Below are 25,237 nucleotides of genomic sequence, written 5' to 3' on the forward strand. Positions count from 1 at the left end.
TGAGCCACCCCCTGACCTGGCCCCCCTTTAAATTTATTTATTTTTTATTTTTTTGAGATGTAATCTCGCTCTGTCCCCAGGCTTGAGTGCTATAGTGTGATCTTGGCTCACTGCGGTCTTCGAGTCTGTGATTCAAGTGATTCTCCTGCCTCAGCCTCCCGAGTAGCTGGGATTACAGGCACGTGCCACCACGTCCAGCTAATTTTTGCATTTTTAGTAGAGACGGAGTTTCACTATGTTGGCCAGGATGGTCTCAATCTCCTGACGTCATGATCCGCCTGCCTCAGCCTTCCAAAGTGCTGGGATTAAAGGTGTGAGCCATGGCGCTTGGCCAAAAATTTTTGTTTATGATGTAGGCCTGTATCTTTTCACTCAGAGATCCAGTTTTCTCAATTTATTCAAACATCTTGCATTTCCCATTTACTTGATGTCTTCTTAATCATTTGAGGTTCAGTTTATTGAACCACTTATTTCTGTACTGCTGCCATACTGTCTTGATTACTATAGCCCATTTTGGGAGTTGTTAAATTTTTCCCACTGCTGATGTTACTGATTTATTTAAAAATTTAGATATTAATCACATACCACAAAATTCACCCTTTGAAAGTGTACAGTTCACTGGTGTTTAGTGTATTCACAAAGTTGTGCACTTATCACCACTGTTTAATTATAGAACATTTTTGTCACCCCCATGGGTGACAAAATGGGTAACTCCATACCCATTAGCAGTTACCCTGCATTCCCTCCTCCCCCCCAGTGGTTGCCCTAGGCAACAACTGTTGTACTTTCTGTCTATAGAATTGCTTCTTCTGGACACTTCATACAAATAGAATCATATAGTATGTGCCTTTTGTTTCTGGCTTCTTTCACTTAGCATGATGTCTTCAAGGTTTATCCATGTTGTAGTGGATATCAGTACTTAATTCCTTTTGATGGCTGAATTAATATTCCATTGTATACTTGTACCACAGTTTGTTTACCCATTTATCTCTTGGTAGACAGAAGGGTTGTCACCACCTTTTATCTATTCTGAGTAGTGCTGCTATAAACATTTGTATATAATTATTGGTTTGAGATCTTTTGGGTATATACCTAGCAGTGGAATTGCTGGGTCGTGTGGCAGTTCTTTAAGTTTTTTTTTTTTAATGTTGATGTTTTATCTCTTAAGTTTATTGAGGTTACTGTTAGACTAGACTAAATAATTTTTAATTTGTTGGTTTAACTTGAAAGCCCCACATAACATGTAGTTTGCAAGTAATGATAGATTTTTTTTTCTCAGTAATATGATAGCTGGCATCTTTATTTCTAGCTCTGTATAGGACTGTTTTTAATATTTTGCCATTGTGTGTATGCTATTTTCTGTTTCTGATGGGTGCCTTTTATTAAAGGAAAAGAAGTTTTCCTCTATCCCTAGTTTGCTAAGAATTTTTATCAGGAATAAGTGCTTGTCTTAGTCTGTTTGGGCTGCTATTATAGAACACCATACACTGGGTGGTTTATATACAACAGAAATTTATTTGAACAGTCTGGAGTCTGAGAAGTCTCAGATCAAGGCAGCAGCAGATTTGGAGTCTGATGAGGGCCTGCATCCTGGCACTTAGATGATCATCTCCGAAAGGACGAGTGAGCTCTCTGGGTCTCATAAGGGCACTAATCCTATTCACAAAGGCTCCATCCTTATGACCCAGTTGTCTCCCACAGGCCCCACCTCCAAATACCTTCACATTGCAGATTAAGTTTCAACATATGAATTGTGTCCTGGGTGTGGGGGAATGAACATTCAGTCTATTAATAGTGCTGAATATTATTATTTCCCTATAAGAATTTGTTGACATATGGCTTCTTTAATCTGTTATATTTTAGCAGCATTGGGCTTGCACAGTACTATTTGCCTTAGTTGGTTCTTAGTTACTTTAGTGGATTTTTCTTCCCAACCAGACTGTTGCATAGGAACCTTCTAGACTTATAAATATTTTAATGTGATTTGTGTGTTTATGGGCAATCTGAAAATCTGTTCTGAAAGATCTGCAGTGCTAAGTTGTGATGGTGTAGAGCTGTACATGTTAGAATACAGTCTAACATGTTTATTTTCTTTGGTCCTCTTATTCCCTTCTTTTTTCTTGTAAACTAAATTATTTTTTTTTTGAGATGGAGTTTCACTCTTGTTGCCCAGGCTGGAGTGCAATGGCGCGATCTCGGCTCATCGCAACCTCCGCCTCCTGGGTTCAAGCAATTCTTCTGCCTCAGCCTCCTGAGTAACTGGGATTACAGGCATGTGCCACCACGCCCGGCTAATTTTGTATTTTTAGTAGAGATGGGGTTTCTCCATGTTGGTCAGGCTGGTCTTGAACTCCCGACCTCAGGTGAGCCGCCCACCTCGGCCTCCCAGAGTGCTGGGATTACAGGCGTGAGCCACCATGCCTGGCTGTAAACTAAACGATTTAAAATCTTGTTATTCAGAATCAAGAAACACACTCCTTTACGTGTTGTTTAAATGTACTCTATAATTGGTTCTGCTGCTCCTCCCACCTCGTTTCTCAGTTAAAAAACCAAAACTATAGAATGCTTGAATTTTCAGCAAAGTGGCAAATTATCCCCATTCATGGGGCGCTTATTACCGTGGTAACAAGGAGCCAACTCATTCTTGAAGTGGGGCAGGATTCTGGTCCATTGGTTTCAGGATCTAAAACAATCCAAATACCTTTTTTGTACACTTGACAGCATGGCCTATTCAAGGTGTTTCTAAACATCCTTAGCATACACAAAGCACAGCTGAGATAGTTTGTAGAGGAAGTAAAATCCCCCGAGTTGAGGTTCTGTCATATTACAAAGCTCTGAAACAAATCCAGTCTTTATTTCTGAAGATAATCACACAGCTTCCTATTAAGGTCCATTTCCCTCCCTCTGTCTCCTCCCCTTTCTCCCCATTCACATTAAAGACAACTAGTAGGGAAGATCTGGGGGACTAGATAATTAAATGAGGCAGAAGTAAAATGTGCTTTTTTAGACTTCGGCCGAGTTGCCTAGGTGAGGGCTGCAGGTAATCTTTGGTCTAAATATGTTGTGTTAGATTTTGAAGTGCCTTTTCTTAGGTCTTGCTGTGGGACAAGGTTGTTTGGGGCCTACATCTTAGAGATTTTCCTTAGCAGTTGTGTTTGAAGCTAAAGTCTGGAGGAGCAGGTTTGGTGAGGAGGAAAAAATCATAGATCAAGATGTGAGACTTGCTGTCCAAAAATGATTTTTAGAGAGCGTAAGAAATAAATTTCCCAGTAGCTCGTAATAGAGGGCAATCTAGTTTCTTAGCTTATGAATAGAATTTAAGAGTCCAGGAAAATCAAAGTATAATTCGTTTTGGATTAGTCAGATCTCTTGTTTATGGATACGATGATCAAAAAGAGCATTACATTTTATTTTTAGGAGAAGGAGAGAATTTCAAATGCAGGATAGAAAACTCTCAATAATACAAACTTTAGGGATGTTTTGATGTTAATGAGGACAAAACAGTTGGTATAATTTTACTTCCTAAAACAGCTGGTATAATTTTTATTCTGTATTTGAGTGTGTATAACGTTATTATTTTGGGCCTGTTAAATATGGCAGTGAACAAAACTAAGTCTGTTGTCTCAGAACAGATGATCTAGTGGAGAGAGATGTACCATGGACACATGTCAGAAAGGGGGAAAAAAGTGCTGCAGAGAATGTATAGCAAGGAAAAAGGGGAATAGGGAGTGTGGGGAATAGTACTATATGAGGACAGTCAGGGAGTGCCTCTCTAAGATGACATTGAGCAAAAGCCTGCAGGATGCAAAAGAGTGACACGGGTAAATATCTGGGGAAGGAGCAGAGGGAACCACAACATGTAAAGGCTCTGAGGTGGGATTGTGCTTTGTGTGTTCCAGAAGCAGCAAGATGTCTCATTGGAGCAGAGTAAGCAAAAGGGAGAGATTTGAGTAGAACATGAGAAAGAGAGGGGGCATCTTAGAAACCATTGAAGGGTGTGGTACAGAAAATGAGATGATGGAACTTCCCCTTTTATAAGATCACTCTGCCTGCGGAGTTTGAGAGTAGAAGCAAAGTGCAGGTGAGAAATGGTGGTGACTTAAAACAGGGTAGTAGCAGTGGAGGTGGTGAGTTGTAGTTTATTCTGAATATATTTTGAAGATAGAGCCAACAGGATTTGCATATGTGGTTTGTGAGAGGAAAATGGAGTCATTTTCCAATAGCATTAGCTATTGGGAAAAAAATGTTGCTGTTTACTAAAATAGGAAAGATTTTGGAGAGTAGTACTGGAAAGTGCATAGGGAATCAGGATTTTTACTTTGGACATGTTGAGTTTAAGGTGCTTGACATCCAAGTGGAGATTTCGAATAGACAGTAGCCCCTCTTATCCTTGGAGGATACGTTCCATGGCCTCCGGTGGATTCCTGAAACCTTGGGTAGTGCCAAACCCTATATATATTGTGCACGAAATCTTTTTTCATTCGCAATTTTATGGACAGAAGATTCATCCTTACCACAGATCTTAGCAACCTCGTCATATGATTTTCTTTGTTGTTGTTGGTTTTTTTTTTTTTTTTTTTTTTTTTTTTTTTTTTTGGAGACAGACTCCCACTCCATCACCCAGGCTGGAGTGTGGTGGTGGTCTCAGCTCACTGGAGCCTCCGCCTCCTGGGTTCAAGCAGTTCTCCTGCCTCCGCCTCCCAAGTTCTGCCTCGTGCCTCAGCCTCCCGAGTAGAGTAGCTGGGATTACAGGTGTGTCCCACCATGATCGGCTAATTTTTTTGTATTTTTAGTAGAGATGGGGTTTTGCCATGTTGGCCAGGCTGGTCTCGAACTCCTGACCTCAAGTGATCCACCTGCCCCAGCATTCCAAAGTGCTGGGATTAAGGCATGAGCCACCATACCTGGCCGATGTTTTTTGTTTATAAAGTCGAGAACTTTGATCTTTTCACTTGAAGGAAACACTATAAGGCTTCTCTTTGGCATATGTGAATTGGCCAGCATCACTACTCTTGCGCTTTAGGGCCATTATTAAGTAAAATAAGGGTTACCTTAACACAAGCACCGTAACAATAGAGCTGATCCCTAGAGATAGCTACTGAGCTACTGAGTGACTAACACATTGGGAAGCCTAGACAGCGTGGATGCCCTGGACAAAGGAATGATTCTCATCCTGCATGGGATGGAGCAGAGATTTCATCACACTTCTACAAATGGGGTGCAATTGATAACTTAATTGTTTCTGGAATTTTCCATTTACTATTTTTGGACCATGGTTGACCTTGGGTAACCAAAACCATGGATAAGGATAAACTACTGTATACAAACTTGTAGTCCTGGAGAGAGGTTTGGGTTAGCCACTTGGAGAAACACGTAGGTAATGTTTAGAGCTGTGAGATCCAGTCGGGGTATTCATTCCTAAACTGTTTGAGGTGCCCTGGGGTATTGCAGTGAACTCACAGGATATTTTAAATTTTCCAGGAAAACAGTATGATAGGGTGTGTGTTTGATGCCTGTGTTTTCAAAATGATGTTTAAGATGTAAGCATGTGTGCATTTTGTATTCCCATGGGGCTGGGTCCAGCTGTATGCCTTTGTGTATGTGTACCTAGTATTCTTCACAGAAAGTATAGTACATTAGCAAACAGTTCCCATTTTACTCAAATTGTCCCCCCCGTGTATCAATCAATCCTGTTGCAGAATGATTGTACTTAATGAGAAGTTCCTAGAGAGTGGAGTAGCCTAAAGGCCCAGGAAAGGGCTGAGGGAGATTTGTGAAAAATGTCTTTAAAACGTGGTTTATTTCTAAAATTCATGCAGCTGAGTTCTTTTCTCATATATTGTCCCAGTCTTAAAATTGTTTCAATTTAATTTTATAGAATGTTTGTTGCAGGAATGAATGTGTCGTAGACTCCTCTCCTTAAGATGTGTACTAGTTAACTTTGAGATGACTGAGAAAATTGGGGAGAATTAGTTGGTAATGGATGAGATCAGACATCTTTAGAAGGAACATACTGCAGTAAATCATCTAGAAAGCTTTAGAACAGTCAAGGAAACTAGTTCAGGCTTAGAATATGAACACTTAGAAAGTTAAAAATGCATTCAATTGTTTCACCTGAAGAAAGTGTGTAATAAACCAATTCAGTAATCTTAAAGGATGTTTCACCAGGTTTTATGTTTCTTGACACTTGAATCACTCCTTTTCTAAAGGTTTAACTTTCTATTCAGTAGTATTTTTGAGGAGTCATCTGAGTTTGTTTCTGAGATTTGCAGGAATTGGGTAGAAATGGTGGAATAGGATTAAAATATCTGTGGACCTATTTTTTAAAAACAGCATTTTGGCTTGAAGTCCTTTTTTTTAAGACCAGAAAGAAAATTTCACAGTAATTTGATTTCTCTGATTAAATTTGACTAGCATATTGAATATTTTCTCTTAGCCTCTTTAAGCCTTACTATTCCTCTTTTCCTAATTCCGTGCCAGGAAAACTATCAGCTTTCAGTGGTGTTTTCTTTACCTTTTTGACTAGCGTTTTTACATTAAGATAAAATATATATATATATTTTTAAACTGCTTGACTGGCCTGTTTTTTTGTTTCTCTACTACTGGTGTTCCTCTTCCTCCTTTTCTGTCTTCCCAAATGAGGACCTGTGGAGGGCATTTATCTGTAGTTTTAGATTTGTGCGTTTCTGTAAGTGTGCAAGGAATTTAGAGTTCAGTGGCATCAGATAGCCATGATGTCACTTTTCTCTTCCATCCAAATTTAGTTTTAGTTTTGTAAACTTGGGAAATACTACACTTAATTGCTAACAAACAGCGACTTAAAAATCTGACATTTTAACCTGATTGGTGGGTGTTCTTTCCACATACTTTCCCTTTTAAGTTTTTTTTGTCTCCGTAAGTGTTCTTCTAAATTTGTTTCAAATCTGTTTTAGGAATGGTTTGAGCACACACCAGGATCAGATTCAGTTTCAAAAAGATCTTTCTTTTTGTGCCGTTTTGTTTCTCTCTGTTACCCTGATGTTCTCATCCCATTCTGGATTTGTCATATAAATGGGTGCACTCATACTATATTCTTTTTGTGGGTTTTATTTTTCAAAACTTTTTGTTCTATGATCTGCATGACTGTAAAATAGCTTTCCGAAATCTTATGACTAAGTCATTTGTGGTGATTCACACCTGTAATCCTAGCACTCTGGGAGGCGGAGGTGGGAGGATTGCTTGAGCCCAGGAGTTCAAGACCAGCCTGGGTAACATAGTGAGACATCTCTACAAAAAAAATTAAAGTAAAAAAAAATTAGCTGGGAGTGGTGGTATATGCTTGTGGTCCCAGCTACTTGGGAGGCTGTGGTGGGAGGATGGCTTGAGGCTGGGAGTTCGAGGCTGCAGTGAGCAGTGATCACGCCACTGCACTCGGCCTGGGCAACAGAGTGAGACCCTGGTTCAATCAATCAGTAATTTGTGTATGGCACACACATACCTTGCTCCCTTTTTTCTCCATAGCCTTTTATATACTGTGTACCTTATTAATCTGTCTCTCAGCTAGAACATAACCTTTTCTATGGATGGAGATTTTGTGCTTTGTTCACTTCTGTATCCCCAGTCTCTGAAAGAGTGCTTGGTACATAGCAGATGCTCAGTATATATTGAGTGAGTGAATAAAAGATCTGTTTGATAATTTAGCTCCCAAACTGTGGGATTTGAATAGGAGAAATGATTGCTTGAACATTCAAATTAGAGACAGGAAATTTTTTTTAGACTTGTGAAACAGAAGAAAATTCACCAAGGTTACAGATTGGGCTTCTATTATAATACCCTGATCTCTTTAGGCCCCACTAGGTAGTTTCAATTTGAGCACAATTCCAGTGTTGCATATTTGGAGGAGACTGGCTAGAAATTTCTCCCTTCTTTGTGGTTTTTATTGAATTTCTCTGGTAAAAATATATTAATGGCTTTTCCTATGCCACTCTCATCCTCTCCTGCACTGAATAATTTCTGTTCTGGAGTAGTAGTTTGTAAATTTGAGTAAGGTATGAATTATATCCAAAAGAAGAAATGTATTGAGGTTCTTCAGTATAGATGTAATTTTCTAATTTCTATGTTACAAATATATATGCAGCTATAAAGAGCAAATAAATACATAACACCTCAATATTATTTTGATATTAATTTGGTTAGAGTTTGGAAAACTAAATTGAGGCGTGATATATATATATACACACACACACATACCAACATGGTGTGTGTGTATATATATAAAAAAATATAAAATATATAAAAATATATATAAAATATATAAAAATATATATATACCAACATGGTGTGTGTATATATATATATGTGTATATATATATATATATGTATATATATATGTATATATATATGTATATATATATGTGTGTATATATATATATATGTATATATATATATATATACCACCATGGTGTATATATAAATATATATATATATACACCACCGGGGTGTATATATAAAAATATATATATACACCACCGGGGTGTATATATAAAAATATATATATACACCACCATGGTGTATATATAAAAATATATATATACACCACCGTGGTGTATATATAAAAATATATATATACACCACCGTGGTGTATATATAAAAATATATATATACACCACCGTGGTGTATATATAAAAATATATATATACCACCGTGGTGGTATATATAAAAATATATATATATATACCACCGTGGTGGTATGTATAAATATATATATATATTTAAATATATATATAAATTTAATATATAACTCATTCTCACTACTTTTCTCCACTTGAACTGCAACTGGAATCTTTGATCACACATCTTCTGGCTTTCATTTTCATTCATTAAATCAGGTTTGCTAGCACATTGGAGCATAGTAGGTGTTAAATCGTTAGTAAATGCACGAGCTCTAAAGTACATCCTTTTTGATTATCCTTGGGCATTTTTCTCACCTATACATTCCATACATAGTAGCAATAATTATGGCAAATGTTACTGTCCTTCAAAGTGTCGTTATGTAAAAATGAACTGATTTTTAAAAGGTCTGCCTAAGTGTGAACCGAGGTCTGGAGCTATCACCTCTTCATAAGATCCCAGGTAATGCAGATTAACTTCTGTTTTGCATCTGGGTAATGTTTAATTATTTGTTGATTATTGTAGAAGTGTTTTTGGATAAAAAGCTCTTTCTCAGATTGTCTTTTACTTTGCTTTCTAAAACTAGGAGGGAAGTATAATACATGATGGGACTGAGTGTTAGTATGGACATATTGTCAAATGTTTTCATAGGGAGAACTTGGTGTACCTCATTATTTAGATTTTTTTATAACTTAAAATGTGGTATGTTTTGAACTTTTAGTTTATCAGAAAATGTTGACTTTTGATGTAATGGCTACTTCTGTAGCTACGGTGATCTTCAGCAAGTTTCACTTTCTAAACTTTTATCTTTTCTGTGCAGTGGTTGCAGGTTGTGAGGTATGGAGATACTGAGGGGTACGAGGCACTGTTTGTGGTGACATGAGAGCCACTAGCGGACAGAGACTGGGGAGAAGGATTGATCAGCTGGCGCATTAGCCCCAAGATGCAGGTGAATTTGGGAACAGAAAGAGGGCCAAATGAGATGTTTGTGAAAATACTTTGTCGATTTAAAACATTCCTTCCAGCTCAGGTGCTGTTATGTTTAGGGAAGATGTGCGTGTTTTCTCTTTCTAGTGGGCTATTGTTAGCTACAAGGTGACCTTGCCTCCTGCTTTGAGGGAGAAGGAAAAAGCTGGACCCACAAGACACAAATCCCAGCAGTCTGTGGTTACTGCTGGAATGATTACTGTTCTTTATTTGTACTATTAGTTGTCTCTAAGATTGGTAACAGGAAAGTGAGAATAAGCTTACTCTCAGAAATTTTTGTTGAGGGAGTTTTGTATAATTTCTGACTATTACCACATTCCCCTTTACTTCGACCCTCTTGGTTTTGCTGTTTGCTGTGCTCTAGTTTTACCATCTAATAACCCAGCACTAAAATCTGATCTTGGGTATCAGATTCTCCTTTGTGGTTTGGTTTGTTAATAATTGAAGTACCTAATGGTTCTGGGTGTGAACTGTGCATACTTGACAATCTAGAACCAGGGAAGTGAGTTTCCTATTGAAGTAATTAATAAAACCTTGTGGCTCTTAAAAATATATAAAAACTGTTACACAGAAATAACCAAAATGTAAACTTAACAGGATATAGTTTAATTATGTTTTTATAACATAAACCTTAAAGATAGAAGTATTTTTAAGCTTGTTGGTGTCCTGTTCCTTTCTAGTTTGGGTGTGTAGGAGTCTTTTTTATCAGGAATTTTGTTAGTGCTAATGCTGGGGTGGCTTTTTTTTTTTAAATCTATGTAAACATGACCCTATTAGACAGCTGTGTTTAATGTAGTAAAGACTCATGGGGAGACTTTATAGTGTTTCTTGTTGGGACTTAGTGTCTGTATATTTTAGTATTTAAAGGATGTGGTTTGGTGCTTTGAAAATGAGAGGGAGGTCACCTAACTCATAGCTGAATGCCTGCGTGTCTAGATTGTTCCGTCCTGGAGGTTATTAACAACATGAAAGTTGTTTTTATTCTAGTTAAACTGATAGTATTAAGTTAAATAACTTTATTGTGGAAGTGTTTGTTTACACATGGCTGCTGAGTAGAATTTTCCTTAAAATCTGATTACATAGGAATGTTTTAGTAAATAGAGTGCTGGAAAAAAGCTGCTACACAAGCCAGAGCCTGTTGTGCTTTGCAGAACAGTAACCAAGATGAAGAGTGGCCTCTTTTTCTCCACCTTTTCCACCGCTCATCTCAGAGAAAGCAGGGCGCTAATCAGGTGGAGCTGCTTAATTGCATTAAGTTCATGGGCTGCTCAAGGGTTGATTAGTCAGACTCATAAACTTCCAGTTATGAGATGCTTGCTGACTGGCTGGTTTAAGTCCTTAGGGTTTGATGCACATTCACTCTAATGAGTACTTACATGTACAGGGCACTGTGCTGTGTGCCCTGTGATGGACACAGAAAAGAATAAGATTACTTCTATCTTGAAGACAGGGTAGAACCTGGGAAGTGTCCCAGGGTAGAAACTGGGAAGGCACAGTTCTGGGAATTCAACGGAGGCATGTAGTTAGTAGCCATTGGGTAATATTGATGGGGTGGGGGTGGGGCAGTAGATGTGATCTGGGCAACGAGGAGCCAGTTGGAGAAGTGGTTTCAGTAGTTGCAGTGGGTAAAGCATGATAAAGATGCTCACAAAGCAGAGAGGAAAAGTAAAATTGACAGGATCAGGCCACTGTGAACATGAAGGGCAAGTTAGAGGAACTCAGGCGGAAGCTCTTCATCAGGAGCCCTGGAGCTTTCCCCAAAATCCTACCAAAATCACTTATGTATGTGCTTTGGTATTTTTGGGTGGCAGAGAACTTAGACCTTTTCTCACATGTTCGGAAGGGTCCAGCATCCAAAAAAGATTGACCACTGCTGCGCTGAGTTTTCATCCATTGGTGACAAGATGGTCAGACTTCTAGAGAAATAAGGTAGTTTTGTGGTAGAACAAACTCTTCCTTGTGGGAGGTATAGTGGGATTTGGGGAATAGGGTTTATGAAATGGTCCCCAGAGTGGGATGGCTTGCCTTTTCAAACTGGGTTTCCCACCCAGCAAGTTAAGTTGACCCATTGCAGTGGATTGAGTGGAGGGCAGGTGAAGGGCAGGTGTTTTCAAGTCAAAGGAGTTCAGGTGAAGGGCAGGTGCTTTTAGTCAAAGGAGTTCCTTAGCATTATTTCCTCCTTTATTTGGAGATCAGATTGAAGATGTAGGGGACTAGAATGCAGTTGTAGTTTGTGGTGTTTACTTTTTATGGAAAAGTGCCTCTTATGTGAAAAGTCTTCTGTGCTTGATCCTGGGGGTAGGGGGGTTATAAAAATGTCATACCTGGGATCCTGCCCTTAAGGAGTTGATGGTAGGTAATGCTTTCCTTTGGCTTTTTGTTCATCTTGAGTCTGTGTATGTTCAGTTATCTTCAGCCATTTCCTGGGCAATGGGAAACATTTCTGTTAAAACAAACTTCTGACTTTGATCTGTGACTTATATTTCTTTTTAGATAATGAAGAACCACTGGGATTAGAGGGTGTATAAAATACAATAATAAGTATAGTGTATGTAGGAACCTCTGTACAACCAATTTGGTGACTTTTAGGCAACTCATTTGACTATTTGACTGTTTGTTACATGAGTGTGCATTTGGCTTTGTTTAAAATTCCTCTATAAAGCACATTTTAAAAAATGACCCAGTACTTAGTATATAAGATGAACTGCCATTTGTATAATTGATCATTTAAAAATGCTTATTATACTTTTAATCAATCAGTTTCCATGTTTATGAAATGGGAATAATTATTATATCTAGCTCATAGAATTGTCCTGAAGATGAAATTTATATCCATATATACATAATGAAGCTCTTTAGAGCAATGTATAACTACATGCCAACTGTTCAAAAAATATTAATGGCTACATCACTATTAATATTTTAAAATTAGTACTGTCATTTTCCCTTCCTACATGACTGAATGTAGGAGGTGACTATTTTTGTTATAAAAGGATTTCCAATGAGATACCTTTGAATGGTAAAATTTCCTATGCATTTATTTAAATGTTTATATATATATGTCTTTAAAGTATGAAAGTTAAGTGCACTTATACAAGGCAGATTCAGGTACTAATTAAACTGCTCATTTAGATTACAGAATGAGGGACTGAAAATTATATGTATTTAATTAGGAATTGGATTGATTGGTCTTGACTGCTGTTGTCTTTCAGTTCTTTTTTATTGTTATACTTCCCATGTGTTTGTCTCCTTTTCTTTTTATCTTTTAAAAATTGCTTTCTGATTTATTTCCTGTTCAGTTTTCAGTAATGGGTGTAGAATAGGGCAAGAACTTATGTTGGTGCCCGTTGTTTGAACCAGGAAGGAGCAACTGCATCAGACAGCCTGGGGCTCAGTTGGGAGGGACTTCAGATCAGTCCCTGCAGAGCTGCCTGGCCCAGGGAACCACTGAATTCCAGTTTCCTAACTCCAAATCGGACAGTTTGTGGGTCTACACTGTATGTACATAATGAACATTTTAAGGCTCATTCATCCAGTGTTTTCCACATGCTCCCATTTGTTTAGTTCTCCTTTTTAAAAACCAATAATTATGGAAAAATTTAGCTATGTACAGAAATAGTAGTGAGAAACCCCCCACTTAGCCATCATGCAGCTTCAGCAGTTGATCATCTCATAGCCAGTCTTGTTTGCTCAATACTCCCAACCATTTCTTTTCTCCCATTTTATTTTGCAGGAAATCCCAGACATTATATCATTTAATCTAAAAGTATTTCAGGATGTATCTGTAAGAGATGAGGACTCAAAAATGCATACACACATTTTGAGAACTTCCCAGAAATGTAAAAAAAAAAAATGCTATACACATATAGAATATATACATGCACGCACACACACACACACACACACACACATATATACTATTTTATGGTCTGTCTGACTCAGAATCCTATGTGGTGTGTTTGGTTGGTAGGTCTCTTCACTCTTTTTTTTATTTTATTTTTTTTTTTTTTTTGAGACAGTCTCACTCTGTCGCCCAGGCTAGAGTGCAATGACACTATCTTGGCTCACTGCAACCTCCACCTCCTGGACTCGAGATCCTCTTGCCTTAGCCTCCTGAGTAGCTGGGACCACAGATGTCCACCACTGTGCCTGGCTAATTTTTGTATTTTTAGTAGAGACAGGGTCTCACCATGTTGCCCAGGCTGGTCTCTAACTCCTGAACTCAAGGGATTCACTCACCTTAGCCTCCCAAAGTGCTGGGATTACAGGCATGAGCCACTGCACCTGGTCCATGCTTATGGTTATATTTTAATGCTATTTTCTTCTATTCTCTAGCATTTCTCATTCTATGGAACAATTTTTTGTAAATAAATCCGTTATAAATTGACACCACAACAGTATATCTGTGCATGTTCTCTTCCATGTGTTCTGTATAGTTGTACCAGCCTTACTCTTTGATAATGTCATCGTCCTCAGGCCTCCGCTCAAGACTATCATATTCAATTTTTGAAGTCTCTTTTTGCCAAAAATAAAACTTGAATGTTTCTAATGATGGCTGCTTTTATTGCTAAGTTGATTTCAATACATTAGAAAATTACAGATTTGGAAATGAAAAGACTAAGGAATTGATGCATCTCTCTCAAATGTGCCTTGAGGGCAGAAATTCCTCAGTTTTGTTCATGCTGAAGCCGCAGGCTAGCACAATATCCGACACTTAGAGGGAAGTTAAATATTTGATAAACAAATGAATTTAATTTTAAGTAAGGTGTCAAACTTGAGGCATCCAGAATTGAACCTGAAGCCACAGTTCTGCCTCCTTTCACAGTCACACATCTTATACTCCACTTACCACTTGAAGATAAGCTTGCTGAGGAGTACCCTGCCATGGGCCCTTCAGAATCTCCTTTCCTCATTGCATAGTGTAGTGGTAAGAGCGTAGGCTTTGACTCCTGACCGCACACATATTGAGCTCTATGATATGCTTCCTGTGCGAACTTAGCAAGTTTCTTAACTTGCCTCTGATTCAGTTTCTCCATCTACAATTGGAGATAAGAGTATGTACTTCTTTTTTTTTTTTTTTTTTTGAGATGGAGTCTCGCTCTGTCGCCCAGGCTGGAGTGCAGTGGCACGATCTCAGCTCACTGCAACCTCTGCCTCCCGGATTCAAGCAATTCTCCTGCCTCAGTCTCCTGGGTAGCTGGGACTACAGGCACGTGCCACCACACCCAGCTAATTTTTTGTATTTTTAGTAGAGACGGGGTTTCACTGTGTTAGCCAGGATGGTCTCGATCTCCTGACCCCATGATCTGCCCGCCTCGGCCTCCCAAAGTGTTAGGATTACAGGCATGAGCCACTGCGGCCAGCGAGTATGGACTTCTTTTATGGGTATTGTGACCTTGATCTTTGTAAGTTCCTTAAGCCATCTCTGATTCAGTTTCTTCATCTACAGTTGTAGATAAGAGTATGTACTTCTTGGGGTTTTATGGGTATTTTGAGCTTAAAACAGTACCTGGCACATAGTAAACATTGTAGAGGTATTAGAGCTGTTATTATTCTAGAATAAAAACAAGTTATTCTCCTCTTACTCATTTTTACCTTTTATCTCTAGCTCTACCTTGGTTTCTTTTCTTAGGCCTAAAAACAGGCCAGGCGTGGTGCCTCACGCCTGTAATCCCAGCACTTTGGGAGGCCAAGGTGGGTGCATCACAAGGTCAGGAGATCGAGACCATCCTGGCTAACACGGTGAAACCCCATCTACTAAAAATACAAAAAATTAGCTGGGCATGGTGGCAGGCGCCTCTAGTCCCAGCTACTCGGGAGGCTGAGGCAGGAGAATGGCGTGAATCTGGGAGGCGGAGCTTGCAGTGAGCTGAGATTGCGCCACTGCACTCCAGCCTGGGCGACAGAGCGAGACTCCATCTCAAAAACAAAAAAAAACAAAAAAAAAAAAGCCAAAAAAAACCCCCCAAAAAAACCAGTTCTCTAAGATACAAAATCCTTGCCATAAAACTTGCACGCTTGTCTTGCTGGTAGCAGTGAAAATTAGCATTATCCCTTTGGAGAGTGGTTGGGCAAGATATATCCAGTTGTGAAAATACACTCTGACTCAATAATTTCACTTTTGGAAATATTTTCTAAGGACATACCCTTAAATGCATAGGAGACAGTATTCATGAAAATGTTACAATGTCCAGGTTTAGAGGGAATGGTTAAATATATTCTGGTACTTACACATTTACAATATTGGTTTTGAAGACTATGTAATATGGAAAATGTCTCCCTGTGATAAAAAGTACATTGTATGTACAATATGATCATAACCATATTAAGTAATATATACTGACATTCAGGAATTTCCCTAGGGTAGGACTTGTAACTGCTCCTTTAATCACCTGCCCCCCCCCCCAATCCTGGATCTATGCTAACCTGGTTCCAAAGGCCCAAATTTTACCTTGAAACTAGGTGCTCTGTATCCTTTGTCGAAGCCATTATCCTTTTTATATGGCTTTAGGAATTCCAAGTTTTGTCAGATTCTTGCAGAATAATACACAACAATGAAGATTCCCTCTGTGTACTTAAGGAATAGTTGTGTTTGGAGGATAAGACAAATACACCAGATAACATTACAGTTTGGGCTCTTGGTGCCCAATGATTGATTTATCTATAGTATAGATTTATTTCTCACAGTACCTCTTGGAATGCTCATTTTTAACCCCAATAGTTAAATTTGCCTTGGTAAGCTACAAAAACAGGCACCAAAGCAGCAATGTTTTTTAGTTTTCTGTTGACCATAAATCTCGTTTCTTTACAAGTAGTAATTCTAAACAGAGTATACCTTAACCAGCCAGTGCACATACTGCTACTTCAGTCTTGGTTCAGCAGATCTTAGAGGCATGTGGTAGAAGGAAGAATAGTTACTCAACAGGTGAGCAGGCAGGACAGTGGTTTTGGCTTTCTTTGGTAAACACTATGGGGCCTATTTCTGAAGTAATTCCCCACCCCCTTCACTCCCACTCAGTATTGCTGACAGAAGTCTTAACTTGCCAAGTCTTTTGTCTACATTGATGCTATAAGCAAACTATTATTTTTAGAGACCAGGTCTTGCTGTGTTGCTCAGGCTGGACTCAAACAACTGGGCTTGTAGCTACCCTTCCACCTCAGCCTCCCAAGTTGCTGGGAGTACGGGGGTGTGCCACTGTGCCTGGCTTGCAAGCAAACTCTTTTGCTTGGTGCACTAATACTTGTTATCCTGAATTTTTACCAACGTTTGCTTGCTTTTGAGACCAGGTCTCTCTGTTTCGCCCTAGCTGGAGTGCAGTGGCATGATCATAGCTCACTGCAACCTCTAACTCCTGGGCTCAGGCAATCCCATGGTCACCTCCCAAATAGGACTACAAATACAGGCCATCATGCTTGGCTTTTTTTTTTTTTTTGAATGGGGGTGGTACATAGGGAACCTCCCTGTATTGCTCAGTCTGATCTCGAACTTTTGTGCTCAAGTGATCCTCCTGCCTTGGTATCCCAAAGTGCTGGGATTACACATGTGAGCCACCATGCCTGGCTGGCTCGTAATTTTTATTTTAGCCTCTTTTTTTCTTTCCCTGGGGTCAAGCCATTTTAAAATTCAGTTACGTATAACTGTGTTAATGGGCCAGCCTGTGCCCAGGTGGCATGTGTTAGGTACTTGGCCTAAGATCATTGTCCAGCCAGGGATTTGTGTGTGTGGTGGCAGATGTGTGCGGTGTCAGGTTGCATTTATACTCTAGAATTAGTAGCTGTACTCTTATTTTTCATATCAAATGTTATTTGACACATAATGGATTTTTGAACTGGATTCAAGGCTAGCCTTGGAATCTTGAATATTATCCCTTAAGAGAGAGCCTTTTGTTTGAGTTACATTTTGGTCAAATAGGGCACATATTAAAGCACTGATCAACTCTTTGAAAGTACTGCAAGTGATGTCAGAAATTGCTATTGCCTTAAAAATATTTTTAAAAAATTTATGTTTACATAAAAATACATGTTAAAGAAAAAACTGATACTTGTTAAAGGTGGGCAAAAAAGACTATTCAGGACCATCGCGATAAGTATAGGGATCACTGCAGCGGGGTCTTGCAGCAAAGGAAAGAGGTTGGGCTCAACTCCAAATACATCATGGGCAAGGAGCAGGATAGGGGTCAGTTGAAGGTAAACTACTAAGAGGAAACATTTGGAGTAAGGGGGATTCTGGCTAAACCCATCTAACAGGATTCTTGCTGAAGACAAGCCAGGGTGATCAGACATCACCTGGGGGATGGTGGAAAATGAAGAACCTGATCAGATATTGAAGATGGGAGGGGGTCTTTTGCTAAAACTGGATTTTGTGAGAAAGTGCACAGATGGGCCTAGAAGAAAGTTTAGAATCCTTACTCAAGTTTGGCCAAGCAAAGGATCTTTGTCATATGGAAAAATGATTGGTTTCAAAGTAAAAGCAAGCATCAGCCCACTCAAGGAAGTAGTGGTTTGCTATGCAAAGGGATAGGAGTTTTATTTTCCTTCAGTTTCTGTAAAAAATATTAGAATAGGTAAAATATGCAAGAGAGTTGTTAATAGGAACTCCGAATATCTGAAAATCCTTGGAAATTAAATTTTCCTGGTAATGCTCAATGTATTTTTCAAAATGTATTAATTTTTTTGGACTTTAACTTTTTATGAGGTTTCATCTGCATTTTGTTGTTCATTCTAGTGGCATTTACCACTGGTAGGCTTTTCATTTGCCTGCTTAGCAGTAAATGTGATATGCTGGAGTTTTGTGGGTGTTTGGCATTATGTCATAGGAGCAATAGGAAATGACTACGGATTAACTTAAACATCATTAAGTTTAACAAAATGGAATGCTTTATTTTGTCTCTATCCTGAAGTGTTATTTAATAATTCACAACAGCTTAAGCAGAAGTTCTTTCCTCCAGGCCCTTCTCTTCCCTCCCTACTCCAACAAAAGTGGGCTGGGGAACTGTGTAAATTTGCATAATATTACTAATTCACTATTTTGTAATACTGTCAAACTATTAGGTGTTGCATTTATTGCGAGCACAAAAGAAAACCAAAGTGTAGTGGCTGTCATTCCCAACTTGTCAATATTCCTTTTTAATATGTTCTGGATACTTTGTTGTCCCATCAAACTTATCATAGACCTTTCTCTACCTTCTGGAAGTTAGCTTCATTTGGTCAATATTATAGATAACTTTGAAGCAGGTAGGTGCTGTATTTAAATCCCATTGTGAATTCTAAGATGGAAGCCGTGAGCAGTTTTTGAAAACCATACATGTGTTTCCAAAGGCCATTCTATTACTCAGTATCCATTAACAGACAATAAAGGACTTTTCTGTCGTTCGCCACTAACCCTAACCACCCAGTCCTCATAAGGCAAAATTAAGAAGTTACATGAATTGATTTTAGAGAATATTCCCTAAAAATAAAAGGGAGTGGACTGCCTCCCCGAAAAAGTCATCCCCCAATATTTTGAAAGTTAATTTGAGAAATACTGCATTTTCTGACCGATAGGGTTATTTTTTCTCCCTTTTTTCCTTTTTTAAAAAAGGCATGCTGTGGGAGTTGGATGCATTTTTTCTGTCAGTGCTTAGAGACATGGAGGGGGAAGTCTTTTCTTGTGCCTCTGCCTATATTCACACCCTCCTGGTCTTGGCATTTTTTCCAATTTAATAGCCATTGAAACAGCCTTTTATATGCTTTTAGATTAGTATGGTTTATGTGATCTGTCTGCCATAATGCATCACAGCTCTGTGTAGTAGTTTTATGTGGCACTTATTAAAAACTGACCTAGTTTGAAAGATAAAAGCTCTTGGAATAGATGCTGTCAGAATTATTTAATTTTATTTGCGTCATAATTTATCGTAGGTTTTCGATATATCATCCTTCATAGTGGGGAAAGTATAGATCCAGGAGACTGTATTTCCTATCTAATTCTAATCTTAATTTTACCACTGTCTAGCTGTGGGGCTTCAGAAGTCACTTTATTTGTGCTTCCTCATTTGTAAAAACAAGGATTTCATTATATATATCTGCAGCACTTTGCTGAAGTTGCTAATCATTTGTACAATGGTCCAGTGAAGAAGGCTGTCATAAGATGGTCTCTGGAAGCTTTTACAGTTTTTAAGACACAAATGATGAATTTTCTTACTGTATACTTTTTTCCTCTCTAAAGGTATTATATAATGAGAAGGGGCCTTTGTATACTATTCTATTTTTATTCCTCCGATTTTTTTTTTTTTTTTTTTGGTCTCCCAAGACGGAGTCTTGCTCTGTCGCCCAGAACTAGAGTGCAGTGACGTGGCCTCAGCTCACTGCAACCTCTGCCTCCCGCATTCAGCAATTCTCCTGCCTTAGCCTCCTGAGTAGCTGGGATTACAGGCGCATGCCACCACACCCGGCTAATTTTTATATTTTTAGTAGAGATGGTGTTTCATCATGTTGGCCAGGCTGGTCTCGAACTCCTGACCTCGTGATCTGCCTGCCTCGGCCTCCCAAAGTGCTGGGATTACTAGCGTGAGCCATGCCCCCAGCCATTATTCCTCCGATTTTTATAAATAAAGAGTGGCTCTTATGCTAATAAGTGACTCCTTTTTGGAATTAGCATTCCTGTGCCTTTACTGAAGCAGAAAGAAACATGAACTGTCGTATCTTCTAACTTGTTTTGATAAGCAAGGCTGAAGACTAGCAAGTTAGAAAACTGGCATCTGCCTTTGATATTGTGGCTTCCTATTAGCACTAAGAGAAATATCGTCCTTTCTCCTTTTCTGACCACGTATTGTCATTCGATTCTTCATCAGGTTTACCCCTCTGTGGACAAGAGTTAGTATGACTCTTTAGGTGTTAGGATTTATCCAAGTACATTTTTTAAAAAGGAAAGTTTAGTTGTCTTTTATGGCTTCATTTTGGGGAGTGTATACTGTCTTTAGGTGAGAGTTTTCTTTTCTTTACTTTTTTAAGCTGAACTTAGAGTCTAAAAGGAATACTGGAATTATTGAATGCAGGATTTGGGCCTTTACTGGAATAAAGTTGCTCAAATTATACCTGGTTCACTATTCTATCTCCCCATAGACCTGGAAAGGATTTAAGCTGACAGGTATGTTGAGACTGTCCTTCATAGCCAAGCTTAGTGAGAGAGTCGCTGTAGTTGGTGCTCACCCTCTCACCTTCTAGTCACCCCTCCATCATGAACTTTTGACTTCTTGTCCACTGTACTTCCTCACAGCAGGGTCACCAGGGGTCTTTATCACCAAGTGGGCACAATTCTTTATTTGACCTTGCTGCTGACTGTGCCTTCCTTTTACAGACTTTTTTTTTTTCCTGATTATGAAAGTAATACATGGTCATTGTGAAAAATTTTGGAAAAAGAGTTGTTATCTCTATCCAGAAAACTTTCTCCTCATTGAAATGTTTCTGTGACAACTGTCTTCTTCCTTTCCTCCTGTTTCTCTTGACCAGACCTGAGTCATTTCGCCTCCTGGATATCTCTGTCTTGTAGGCACTCAAGCCCAATGTTAATTTTTGTGTATGTGTATTTTTTTTTTTTTTTTTACTTTAAGTTCTGGGATACATGTGCAGAATTTGCAGGTTTGTTACACAGGTATACACGTGCCATGGTGGTTTGCTGCATCTATCAACCTGTCATCTAGGTTTTAAGCCCTGCATGCATTAGGTATTTGTCCTAATGCTCTCCCTCCCCTTGTCCTCCACCCCCACCACCCACCAACATCCCCAGTGTGTGATGTTCCCCTCCCTGTATCCATGTGTTCTCATTGTTCAACTCCCACAGTGAGAACATGCGGTGTTTGGTTTTCTGTTCCTGTGTTAGTTTGCTCTCCCCATGGGCTCTCACAGCACCCTGTGCTATCCTTCTGACACGTATAACATTTGTTGTAATTGTCTGTTTGCTTTTCTGTCTCAAGGGCAGCAACGATGTTTTACTCATATTTATACCAGTGTCTAGCCCAGAGCGGCTAGGACATTTCTGATAATAAACGGGTAGGGCTGGGTGTGGTGACTCACTCCTGTAATCCCAATACTTTGGGAGGCCAAGGTGGGAGGCTTACCTGAGTCCAGGAGTTCAGGATGATGATGGGGTCAAATGATGACCCCAACATTTATTAAAGTGAATTTACCTCTGCCTCCCCTGCTCCAAGTATGCTCAGCCACCTGTTGCCATCTCACTGGGAGGCATCACTCTTCATGTAGTTGCTGAAGCCATAGATGAGGACCCATCCTTGACTCCTCTCCCTCATCCTCCATTTTCAGTCAGTAGTTAGAAACCTTCTTGTTATTCCTGTGAACCCATTTACTTGTCATCTCTCTACTCTTAGCACCTTAACTTAGACTCTCTTTATTTCCCACCTACCTGAATTTCCTAAAAGCATCATCCACTTTTGAAGGCTTAGGACTTTGCGTATCTTCCCTCAGGGCTTAGCTTAGAAAATCAGGACTTCTCTGACCTGTTCCTATACCCTCAGGTGAGCTTGGTGCTGATGTCCCCTTCTCCCTCTTCATCCATACCTCTTCCTTCTTCTCCCCGTCTCCCCATGGGCTCTCACAGCACCCTGTGCTATCCTTCTGACACATATAACATTTGTTGTAATTGTTTGCTTTTCTGTCTCAAGGGCAGCAACTATGTTTTACTCATATTTATACCAGTGTCTAGCCCAGAGCGGTTAGGACATTTCTGATAATAAACAGGTAGGGCTGGGTGTGGTGGCTCACTCCTGTAATCCCAATACTTTGGGAGGCCAAGGTGGGAGGCTTACCTGAGCCCAGGAGTTCAGGACCAGCCTGGGCAACTTAGTGAGACCCTGTCTCTACAAAAAATTTTTAAAAAGATTAGCTGGCCATTGTGGCATGTGCTTGTGGTTGCAGCTACTTGGGAAGCTGAGGTAGGAGGATTGCTTGAGCCTGGGAGGTTGAGGCTGCAGTGAGCCAAGATCACGCCACTCACTGTAGCCTGGGTGACAGAGGAAGGCCCTGCCTCAGAAAGAACGAAATTAAATAAATAAAAAATGAGTAGAAGGAAATGAACATTTGTAGGTTGGAGGTTAGTATAAAAAATCTGATGCTACATGTTTTATGGTCTTGGTCTTGGCTGCCTTCAAATTGTATCTTAATATAATTGGCTTTCACTACCTAGTCTAGTAGTCATGGTTCTGTGAACAAGCTTTCAAAGTGTGAAGTATGGTAGAGCAAAGCAGGAGTAAAGCTGTCAGGTTGGCTGGAATGGGCCTCAGCACTTTGCTTGTATTGATAGAGGTTAGGTTTTCCAATAACTGATGACAGTGTAGCAGAGATGACTAGGGCAGTTGTGCTAGGGATAAAGAGTGGCACAGTTTAGTGACTTGGCGATGAGATGTGGGGATCAGAAAGGAGGAATCTAAGTGACTCAAGCTTCTGGCTTAATGGACTAGGTATACTTGAGGCTATCATTAACTAGTAGTGTTGATTTTGAGATTCTTTTTGATATCCAGGTGAGTATGTCTACCAGGCTGTGGGATATGAAGTTGGGGAGAGTGTGTCACTGGAAATGTTTGAGTTAAAACTACAAGAAATCACTTAGATATATAGCTTAAGAAGAGTAGTGGTCTAGAAACAGAAAGAACTCTGAAGAACACTGATGTTTAGGGGCTGGGGAAGAAGAGAGCTGGGAAGTCTATGTCAAAGAAACTGAGGAGCTGGTGGTTGAAGAGGGAATTTGGCAATAAAAAGGCCATTTGACCTTCAGCTCTAGAAGCCAGGAAATTAAGAGAAAAAAGGCCGTTGAGTTTATTGTGTTTTAAAAAGAAAATATCAAGAAAACGGGTGTGTTTTTACCCAGCCCTTAGATGAGATGCTTCAGTATGGACTGTCTGCTTGGCATTTTGTTGGGCAGTTCCACCTTACCCGTTAGTAGCCCAGCACCCCAGTCCACATCCAGAATCCTACTCTTACATTAGATCTAACACATGACCTCTAAAGTCCCTTCCAATTTCAACCTAACATTAAAAACAGATTCTGGGCCCAGTCTGAGAAATTGTGATTCAGCGGGCCTAGGGGATCTTAATTTCTTCTAAGGGCCTTTCTGAGAATCTGAAGAACATTGATGTGTAGGTGCTATAAACCTGCATTTTACTTTATTGCAAGAGAGCAGGACTTTATTATAGCAACAGTTTAAAATACAATTGTGATGAAGAGGTTGGCAACCATGGAAACCTAGCTGGAGCTTTACCCCACCCATGCCTGCCTTTGTGTGTGGGGGTGACTTGGGGGTGGGAAAGTGCCACCATCTGTTGTAATCTGTTGGAGATTTAAAGTTTTTGCTTTATGGATTTTTGCAGCAGATGCCCTTTGCTCCCTGCATTATATCCTCTCAGGCCATCACTGGTTTCAAACAAAACTTAGATTTTTGTAGTTTCTCTGTGTCTTGCCAACAGCTTTCTATTTTCTGCCTCAGGGCTCTCAAACCCAGCAAATGATGGGGAAAGGCTAACCTCAGGCAACCTTCAACCAGTGAGGGATTGGAGCTGGTGCCTAAATGTCCTGCTTCTTTCAGGGGTCTCACAGAATCACCCCACTTTGCAGCAGTCACCCTGTGTGTCCTTACTGGCTATTTTCCTTCCCTCACGTCTGTTCCCTGGGATCACCTCCTATTTTAATCTTGCTAAAATCTTGCACACAAAGTGTTAGTTGAGCTGACTTTAAAGCTGGAATGCAAATAAAAGCCTTCTGTAATTACATTAGTTTCTTTTTAATGTCCCTCTCTATCAATAATAGCACCTAAAATAATATATGGGGGAAGAAGTCAAAGAGAACATATTGTGCAATGCACAATGGCGCACATATTGCTAAAGTTTAAATTTATTCATAGATACTGTGTAATGAGATCATTATGTGAGAATTTATTGGGTTTTTCAACACTTCCATTTCTTTCATTTAGGAATGGGGTTGAACGGATATGAAAATGTAGAAAATAGTTGGCACAGAGAGCACTAGGTGTGCCTCTTTTATTCATTTATATGTCATCCGTTCTTGAATTCTGGGTAGCTCTATTTGTAAGACTATACAGTATAATGATAGAAAGCTATTAAAAATGTCACAGTGCAGAAAGGGGGAAGATCTCTACAGATGATTAGGCTATAAATTGCCAAAGATCAGAAAGACCCTGATAAGATCTGTTTCAAAGGTTTTGTTTGGTTGGTTGGTTGGGTTTGTTTGGTTGGGTTTTTTTGTTGTTGTTGTTTTTGGAGACAGGGTCTTGCTGTGTTGCCCAGGCTAGAGTATAGCAGTGTGATCATAGCTTACTGTAACCTTAAACTCTTGGGCTCAATAGATCCTTCTGCCTCAACCACCCCATTAGCTGAGACTACAGGCACGTGCCGTCACACCTGGCTAATTAAAAAAAAATTTTTTTTAGAGATGAGGTCTTGCCGCGTTGCCCAGGCTTTCCTAGTTGAAGCATACATCTTGGACAGCTCAGTGTATTCATCCTCGTTTGCTCCACATTTACTGAGTGCCTGCCATATGGCAGCCTCTATGGTAACTGTTTTCAGATACCAGTTTTAATCACTAGGAATAAACTTGG

The 25,237-nt window shown here is 39.5% G+C and overlaps 1 protein-coding gene across 14 annotated transcripts in view, besides 2 other annotated features; it reads left to right on the forward strand.

The window, feature by feature from the left end:
- The window catches only part of FBXO34 (F-box protein 34), a 171,629-nt gene that overhangs the window by 51,927 nt on the left and 94,465 nt on the right, over positions 1 to 25,237 (forward strand). The window lies entirely within an intron of this gene.
- Positions 3,895 to 4,034: an enhancer, noted in NCBI's record as "active region_8431". NCBI's record gives its function as "activates an Ori minimal core promoter by ATAC-STARR-seq in GM12878 lymphoblastoid cells {active_cell/tissue: GM12878}" and the evidence as "EXISTENCE:reporter gene assay evidence [ECO:0000049][PMID:35858748]".
- Positions 4,844 to 5,345: an enhancer, noted in NCBI's record as "NANOG hESC enhancer chr14:55794909-55795410 (GRCh37/hg19 assembly coordinates)". NCBI's record gives its function as "activates a minimal SCP1, AML or CMV promoter by ChIP-STARR-seq in naive H9 embryonic stem cells {active_cell/tissue: H9 hESC(naive)}" and the evidence as "EXISTENCE:reporter gene assay evidence [ECO:0000049][PMID:30033119]".

This window comes from Homo sapiens, chromosome 14 (genome assembly GCF_000001405.40).
Source record: "Homo sapiens chromosome 14, GRCh38.p14 Primary Assembly".
NCBI lineage: Eukaryota > Metazoa > Chordata > Mammalia > Primates > Hominidae > Homo > Homo sapiens.